The sequence below is a fragment of the Homo sapiens genome, chromosome 11 (assembly GCF_000001405.40).
Source record: "Homo sapiens chromosome 11, GRCh38.p14 Primary Assembly".
Lineage (NCBI taxonomy): Eukaryota > Metazoa > Chordata > Mammalia > Primates > Hominidae > Homo > Homo sapiens.
In genome coordinates, this window is record NC_000011.10 from 7,783,451 (window position 1) to 7,793,111 (window position 9,661).

The window sequence follows — 9,661 nt, forward strand, 5'->3', positions numbered from 1 at the left end:
AGCAGAAGACAAGAAATAATCAAAACCAGAGCTGAACTGAAGGAGATTGAGACACAAAAAACCATTCAAAAGATCAACAAATCCAGGAGCTGTTTTTTTGAAAAAATTAATAAAATAGGTAAACTGCTAGCTAGAATAATAAAGAAGAAAGAGAGAAGATTCAAATAAACACAATCAGAAATTATAAGGGGGATATTACCACTGACCCCACAGAAATACAGCCTCTCTCTCCTCCTGCAAGCCAAGATGTCAAAAGGAAAGAAGGCCAAGGGGAAGAAGGTGGCTCTGGCCCCTGCTGTCATGAAGTAGGTGGCCAAGAAAGTGGTGAATCCCCTGTTTGGGAAAAGGCCTAAGAATTTTGGCACTGGACAGGACATCCAGCCCAAAAGAGACCTCACCTGCTTTGTGAAATGGCCCCACTATATCAGGTTGCAGTGGCAGAGAGCCATCCTTTTTAAGTGGCTGAAAGTGCCTCCTGCAATTAACCAGTTCACCCGGCCCTGGACCACCAAACAACTACTCAGCTGCTTAAGCTGGCCCACAAGTACAGACCAGAGAGCAAGAGAAGAAGCAGAGGTGGTTGGCCCAAGCTGAAAAGGAAGCTGCCAGCAAAGGGGATGTCCCCACTAAGAGACCACCTGTTCTTTGAGCAGGAGTTAACACTGTCACCACCTTGGTGGAGAACAAGAAAGCTCAGCTGGTGGTGATTGCAGATGACGTGGATCTGGACGTCTACTCCACAGGAAGACCTGCACCACTGTCGCCTTCACACAGGTTAACTTGGAAGACAAAGGAGCTTTGGCTAAGCTGTTGTAAGCTATCAGGACCAATTACAATGACAGATACGATGAGATCTGCCATCAATGGGGAAGTAATGTCCTGGGTCCCAAGTCTGTGGCTCACATTGCCAAGCTCAAAAAGGCAAAGGCTAAAGAACTTGCCACTAAACTGGGTTAAATGTACACTGTTGAGTTTTCTGGACATAAAAATAATTAAAGTAATACAAATTTTCCTTCAAAAAAAGAAATACAAACAGCCATCAGAGAATATTATAAACACCTCTATGTACATAAACTAGAAAATCTAGAAGAAATGAATAAATTCCTAAACACATACATACACCCAAGACTGAACAAGGAAGAAACTGAATCCTTGAACAGATCAATAAACAGTTCTGAAATTGAGGCAGTAATAAATAGTCTAAATAAATAAATAAAGCCCAGTACCAGACAGATTCACAGCTGAATTTTACCAAATGTTCAAAGAAGGGCTGATACCATTTCTACTGAAACTATTCCAAAACATTGAAAAGGAGGGACTCTTTCCCAACTCATTCTAGGAGGCCAGCATCATCCTGGCACCAAAACCCAGCAGGATAAAAATCACATGATCATCTCAATAGATGCTGAAAATGCATTTAAACAATTCAAGTTCCTTTCAAGATTAAAATGCTCAACAAATTACGAATGGCAAGAATGGTCCCTTAACACAATAAAGGCCATATTTGACAATCCCACAGAAAATCCTTAGATCCCACAGAAAATTCTGATTTTCTCCACAATCAGGAGCAAGACAAAGATGTACACTATCACCACATTTATTCAATGTAGCAATGAAAGCCCTAGCCAGAGCAATCAGGCAAGAAAAAGATATAAACGCCATCCAAACCAGAAAGGGAGAAGTAAAGTTACCCCATTTGCATAACACATGATTAAACATATATAAGAAAAAAATAAAGATGTCAGACAAAAACAAAATTTTACAACTAAGAAATAAATTTAGCTAAGTTGCAGAATACAAAATCAACATGCAAAAATCAGTTGCATTTTTTACACCAATGACAACCTATCAGAGAAAGAAATCAAGAGTTTGCTGAAAGAAATAAGATCTGGACTGGCATGGTAGCTCATGCCTGTAATCCCAGCACTTTGGGAGGCTGAGGCAGGTGGATCACGAGGTCAGGAGTTCAATATCAGCCTGGCCAATATGGTAAAACTCCATCTGTACTAAAACTACAAAAATTAGCCAGGCGTGGTGGCACTGTAGTCCCAGCTACTTCAGGAGACTGAGGCAGAAGAATTGCTTGAACCTGAGAGATGGATGTTGCAGTGGGCCAAGACTGCACCACTGCACTCCAGCCTGGGTGACAGAGTGAGACTCCATCTAAAACAAAAAACAAAAAAAACAAGGCCAGGTGCAGTGACTCATGTCTGTAATCCCAGCATTTTGGGAGGACAAGCTGGGCAGATCAAGAGGTCAGGAGTTCGAGACCAGCCTGGCCAATATGGTGACACCCCATCTCTACTAAAAATACAAAAATTAGCCAGGCATGGTGGCATGTGCACGTAGTCCCAGCTACTCAGGAGGCTGAGGCAGAAGAATCGCTGGAACCCAGGAGGCGGAGGTTGCAGTGAGCCAAGATCTCACCACTGCACTCCAGCCTGGGTGACAGAGTGAGATTCAGTCTCAAAAAAAAAAAAGAAAAGAAAAAGAAAAAAAGAAATAAGATATACCATTAGATAGGTCAGTAGGGCAGTAGAGTGACTGTAGTTTACAATAATCTATTGTACACTTCAAAAGTCTAGAAGGGAATTCAAATGGTTTTAGCACTAAAAAAAGACAAAATTTAAGGTGATGGATATTCCACGTACACTGATTCACTGATTTGACCTTTACAAACGATATTAATCTATTAAGTTATTACATGTACCCCAAACAATGTACATCTATTATGGATGAGTTAAAAAGAGGTAAAAAAGAAATTAAAAAAGCAAACTCATTTAGGATCACATCAAAAAGAATAATATACTTAGGGTTACTTTTTTTTTTTAATTTTTCTTGAGACAGTCTCACTCTGTTGCCCAGGCTGGAGTGCAGTGGTACAATATCAGCTCACTGCAACTGCCACCTCCCAAGCTCAATCGATTCTCCCACCTCAGCCTCCTGAGCAGCTGGGACTATAGGCATGCTCCAACATATCCAGCTAATTTTTGTATTTTTAGTAAAGGCGGGTTTTTGTCATGTTGGCCAGGCTGGTCTCAAGCTCCTGACCTCAGGTGATCCACTCCCCTAGGCCTTCCAAAATGCTGGGATTATAGGCATGAGCCACTGTGCCAGGCCTACCTAGGGTTACTTTTAATCAAGGAGGGAAAAGACCTCTACACTGAAAGCTACAAAGCATTAAGAAAGAAATTGAAGAAAACACAGATAAATGACCCCAAATAGTAAAACAATTTTAAACAAGAAAGGTAAGGCTGGGGGCATCACACTTTCTGATTTCAAATTACATTAACTAAGCTATAGTAATCAAAATAGTATGGTGCTGGCACAAAAATAAACCCACAGAAATGCAAATCAACACCGTAGTGACTTATCACCTCACACCATTAGGATGACTACTATCAAATAAAAACAGAAAATAACAAATGTGGATGTGCAGATATTGAAACCCTTGTGCATTATTTGTAAAAACGAAAAATGGTGCAGGCAGCCACTGTGGAAAACAACGTGGCAGTTCCTCAAAAAATCAAAATTAGAATTATCATATAATCTAGCAATTTCACTTTTTGGTATATACTCTCCTAAACTGAAAAACAATTGGGTATATACCCAAAATATTGATGTATTTGTACAGCTGTGTTCATAGCAGTATTCTTCATAATAGCCCAAAGGTGAAAGCAACCCATGTGTCCATGGATAGATAAATGGATAAACAAAAAATGTGGTATATATATATATAAGAAAATATTTTTCAGTCTTAAAAGGGAAGGAATCAGTGTGAGGATGGGTGGATTAAAAACAAAAAGAAGGAAGGAAATTCTGAGGTATGCTACAACATGGATGAGCCTTGAGGACATTATGCTACATGAAATGAGCCAATCACAAAAAGACAAATACTGCATGATTCTACATGTAGAAGTTACTTAGAGTAGTCAAATTCATAGAGACAGAAAGTAGAATGGTGATTTACTGAGGCTGAAAGTGAGAGGGGAATGAAGAGTTACTGTTTACTAGTTACAGTTTCAGTTTCAAAAGATGAAGCGTTCTGAAGATAGATGGTGGTGATGGTTGTATAACAACGTGAATTTTTTTTTGGTTGTTTGTTTCTTTGTTTATGGAGTTTCGCTCTTGTTGCCCAGGCTGGAGTGCAATGGCACGATCTCGGCTCACTGCAACCTCCGCCTCCCCAGCTCAAGTGATTCTCCTGCCTCAGTCTCCCAAGTAGATGAGATTACAGGCATGTGCCACCACATCCAGCTAATTTGAATGTTCTTAACATCACTGAACTTTACACTTAAAATGGTTAAGTTGGACATTTTTGTTATATGTATTTTACCACAATTAAAATCAATTTTAAAAAGTATATATCCCCAGAGGTCAACAGAAAGACTAGAGAGCACAGAAATAAACCCATGCATATATGGTTAACTAATTTTAGACAAGGTTACTGAGCACACACAACAGCAAAAGGATAATCTCCATAGTAAGCACTTTTGGGAAAACTGGATATGCACATGTAAAACAAAGAAATTGTACTCATTTTAAACCATTCTCAAAAACCAACTCAAAATTGATTAAGACCAAAACATGATACCTAAAACCGTAAAACTCCTAGAGGAAAATACAGGGGGAAATCTGCTTGACATTGACCTTGGCAATTATTTTTTGGATTTGACAGTAAAAGCTCAGGTGAGAAAAGCAAAAATAAGTTACAGCAAACTAAAATTATTCTGCAGAACAAAGGATACAATCAACAAAATAAAAAGGCAACTTATGGTTTGGGGGAAAATATTTGTAAACCACATATCTGATAAGAGATTAATATCCAAAATATATAAATAAAGAACTTACACAACTCAATAGCAAAAAAAACTCCAAATAACTAGATTAAAAATTGGGCAAAAGATCTGAATAAACATTTTTCAAAAGAAGACATAAAAATGACCAACAGGTATATATAAAAACATGCTTAAATTACTAGAAAATCTAGAAGAAATGGATAAATTCCTCGACACATACACCCCCCCAAGACTAAACCAGAAAGAAGTTGAATCCCTGAATAGACCAATAACAGGCTCTGAAATTGAGGCAATAATTAATAGCCTACCAACCAAAAAAAGTCCAGGACCAGACCGATTCACAGCCGAACTCTACCAGAGGTACAAGGAGGAGCTGGTACCATTCCTTCTGAAACTATTCCAATCAATAGAAAAAGAGGGAATCCTCCCTAACTCATTTTATGAGGCCAACATCATCCTGATACCAAAGCCTGTCAGAGACATAACAAAAAAAGAGAATGTTAGAGACCAATATCCCTGATGAACATCAGTGCTAAAATCCTCAATAAAATACTGGCAAACCGAATCCAGCAGTACATCAAAAAGCTTATCCACCATAATCAAGCTGGCTTCATCCCTGGGATGCAAGGCTGGTTCAACATATGCAAATCAATAAATGTAATCCAGCATATAAACAGAACCAAAGACAAAAACCATGTGATTATCTCAATAGATGCAGAAAAGTCCTTTGACAAAATTCAACAGCCCTTCATGCTAAAAACTCTCAATAAATTCGGTACTGATGGGACGTATCTCAAAATAATAAGAGCTATTTATGACAAACTCACAGCCAATATCATACTGAATGGGCAAAAACTGGAAGCATTCCCTTTGAAAACTGGCACAAGACAGGGATGCCCTCTCTCACCACTCCTATTCAACATAGTGTTGGAAGTTCTGGCCAGGGCAATCAGGCAGGAGAAAGAAATAAAGGGTATTCAATTAGGAAAAGAGGAAGTCAAATTGTCCCTGTTTGCAGATGACATGATTGGATATTTAGAAAGCCCCATCATCTCAGCCCAAAATCTCCTTAAGCTGATAAGCAACTTCAGCAAAGTCTCAGGATACAAAATCAATGTGCAAAAATCACAAGCATTCTTATACTCCAATAATAGACAAACAGAGAGCCAAATCATGAGTGAACTCCCATTCACAATTTCTTCCAGGAGAATAAAATACCTAGGAATCCAACTTACAAGGGACTAGAAGGACCTCTTCAAGGAGAACTACAAACCACTGCTCAACAAAATAAAAGAGGACACAAACTAATGGAAGAACATTCCATGCTCATGAATAGGTAGAATCAATATCGTGAAAATGGCCACACTGACCAAGGTAATTTATAGATTCAATGCCATCCCCATTAAGCTACCAATGACTTTCTTCACAGAATTGGAAAAAACCACTTTAAAGTTCATATGGAACCAAAAAAGAGCCCGCATTGCCAAGACAATCCTAAGCCAAAAGAACAAAGCTGGAGGCATCATGCTACCTGACTTTGAACTATACAACAAGGCTACGGTAACCAAAACAGCATGGTATTGGTACCAAAACAGAGATACAGACCAATGGAACAGAACAGAGTCCTCAGAAACAACACTACACATCTACAACCATCTGATCTTTGACAAACCTGACAAAAACAAGCAATGGGGAAAGGATTCCCTATTTAATAAATGGTGCTGGGAAAACTGGCTAGCCATATGAGGAAAGCTGAAACTGGACCCCTTCTTTACACCTTATATGAAAATTAATTCAAAATGGATTAAAGACTTAAATGTTAGACCTAAAACCATAAAAACCCTAGAAGAAAACCTAGGCAATACCATTCAGGACATAGGCATGGACAAGGACTTCATGTCTAAAACACCAAAAGCAATGGCAACAAAAGACAAAATTGACTAATGGGATCTAATTAAACTAAAGAGCTTCTGCACAGCAAAAGAAACTACCATCAGACTGAACAGGCAACCTACAGAATGGGAGAAAATTTTTGCAATCTACTCATCTGACAAATGGCTAATATCCAGAATCTACAAAGAACTCAAACAAATTTACAAGAAAAAAACAAACAACCCCATCAAAAAGTGGGCAAAGGATATGAACAGACACTTCTCAAAAGAAGACATTTATGCAGGCAACAGACACATGAGAAAATGTTCATCATCACTGGCCATCAGAGAAATGCAAATCAAAACCACAATGAGATACCAGCTCACACCAGTTAGAATGGTGATCATTAAAAAGTCAGGAAACAACAGGTGCTGGAGAGGATGTGGAGAAGTAGGAACACTTTTACACTGTTGGTGGGACTGTAAACTAGTTCAACCATTGTGGAAGACATTGTGGCGATTCCTCAGGGATCTAGAACTAGAAATACCATTTGACCCAACAATCCCATTACTGGGTATATACCCAAAGGATTATAAATCATCCTGCTATAAAGACACATACACACGTATGTTTATTGCAGCACTATTCACAATAGCAAAGACTTGGAACCAACCCAAATGTCCATCAATGATAGACTGGTTTAGGAAAATGTGGCACATATACACCATAGAATACTATGCAGCCATAAAAAAAGATTTCATGTCCTTTGTAGGGACATGGGTGAAGCTGGAAACCATCATTCTCAGCAAACTATCACAAGGACAGAAAACTAAACACCACATGTTCTCACTCATAGGTGGGAATTGAACAATGAGATCACTTGGACAGAGGAAGGGGAACATCACTCACTAGGGCCTGTCGTGGGGTGGGGGTAGTGGGGAGGGATAGCATTAGGAGATATACCTAATGTAAATGACAAGTTAATGGGTCAGCACACCAACATGGCACATGTATACATAGTAACAAACCTGCACGTTGTGCACATGTACCCTAGAACTTAAAGTATAATTTAAAAAAAAGAAAAAAAACAGACTTGTTGATATTGCTATTCATCAAGGAAATACAAATCAAAACCACAGTGAGATATCACCTCATACCCATTAGGATGGCTATTATAAAAGACAAGTGATAACAAGTGTTTGTGAGGGTATGGAGAAAAAGGAACCTTGTGCACTGTTGGTAGGATTCTAAACTGGTGTAGACATTTTGGAAACAGTAAGAAAGTTCCTCAAAAAATTAAAAATAGAACTACATATGACCCAAAAGTCCCTTTGCTGGGTATATACTCAAAGGAAATAAAATCAGTGCCTCATGGAGACACCTGAGCCACCATAAATGGATAAACAAAATGGTGTGTGTGTTTGTGTGTGTGTCTGTGTACACACACACACAATGGAATATTATTCAGCCTTTTAAATATACATATTAAATATTCAGCCTTTTAAATATATATTATATACATACAGACACACACACACTACACACACATGCACACAATGGAATATTATTCAGCCTTTTAAAGGAAGGAGATCCTGCCATTTGCCACAACATGGATGGTCCTGAGGACATTATGCTAAGCAAAATAAGCCAAACACGGAAAGAAAAGTATTGCATGATCTCATTTATATATACGAAATCTTTTTACAATGTCAAATACACAGAAACAGAGAGCAGATTGGTGGGTACCAGGAGGAGGGTGTAGTAGGTAATGGCAGATGTTGGTCAAAGGCTAAAATGTTGCAGCTGTTTAGGATAAGTTGAGCAATCTAATGTACAATAGGAAGACTACAGCTAATAATATTATACCCACAAAATTTGTTAAGGGAGTAGACTTTTTTGTTTCTTTATTTTTCACTTTTATGGGTGCATAGTAGGTGTTTATATTTATGGAATATATTAGATATTTTGATACAGGCATACAATGTGTAATAATCATATCAGGGTAAATGGGGTATTCATCACATTAAGCATTTATCATTTCTTTGTGCTACAGATTCCAATTCTACTTTTTAAGTTTTATTTTAAAATGTACAGTAAATTATTGTTGACTATAGTTACCCTGTTGTGCTGTCAAATACTAGATCCTATTCATTCTGTTTAACTATATTTTTATACCCATTAAACATGTCCCCTTCCACCCACCTTCACTACTCTTCCCAGCTTCTGGTAACCATCATTCTGCCAAGAGAGTAGGTTTTAGGTGCTCCAACCAAGAAAAAAAAAGATAACTATGTAAGATGATGCATGTGATAACTTGCTTAATTGTTACAGTTATATTATGTACATGGGTAACAAAATATGGTGTATAACTTAAACATATACAATTTTTTAACTCATAAAACAGAAGAAAAATGTTGTACCACTTCTTTCTGGTTTTATAGTTTTGGATGAGAAACTCATTGTCTTTCAAAATGCTTTTCTCTTCTAAGTAATATGTCCTTTCCGTCTGGCTGCTTTCAAGATTTTTCTGTCTTTATTTTTCAAAAGTTTAATTAGGATGTGTCTTGTTGTGGATTTCCTTGGGTTTATCCTATCTGAGATTTGCTCACCTTCCTGAATCTGTAGCTCTATATATCTTTGACCAATTTGGAATGTTTTCAATCATTACTTCTTTGATTACTTATTGAATACCCCTTTCCTTCTGAGATTCTCAGGATATAAATATTAGCTCTCTTTTACTGTCTCATAGGTTCATGTGTTCTGTTCTTTTTTATTGTTCCAATCTATTTTGTTTATTGTTCAGAACAGGTAAATTCTATTCATCTTTATTCAAGTTCACTGATTTTGTCCTCTGTATCTCTATTCTGCTACTGAGTTCATCCAGCAAGTTTGTTGTTTTTTAATATTTCTATGAGTATGTTTTGCAGTTTTATAATTTCCATTTGGTTCTTATTTGTAACTTCTATTTATTTGCTGAAATTCTCTATTTT

At 37.7% G+C, this 9,661-nt stretch overlaps 1 pseudogene; it reads left to right on the plus strand.

The window, feature by feature from the left end:
- On the plus strand, window positions 224-1,017 carry RPL7AP55 (ribosomal protein L7a pseudogene 55; annotated as a pseudogene).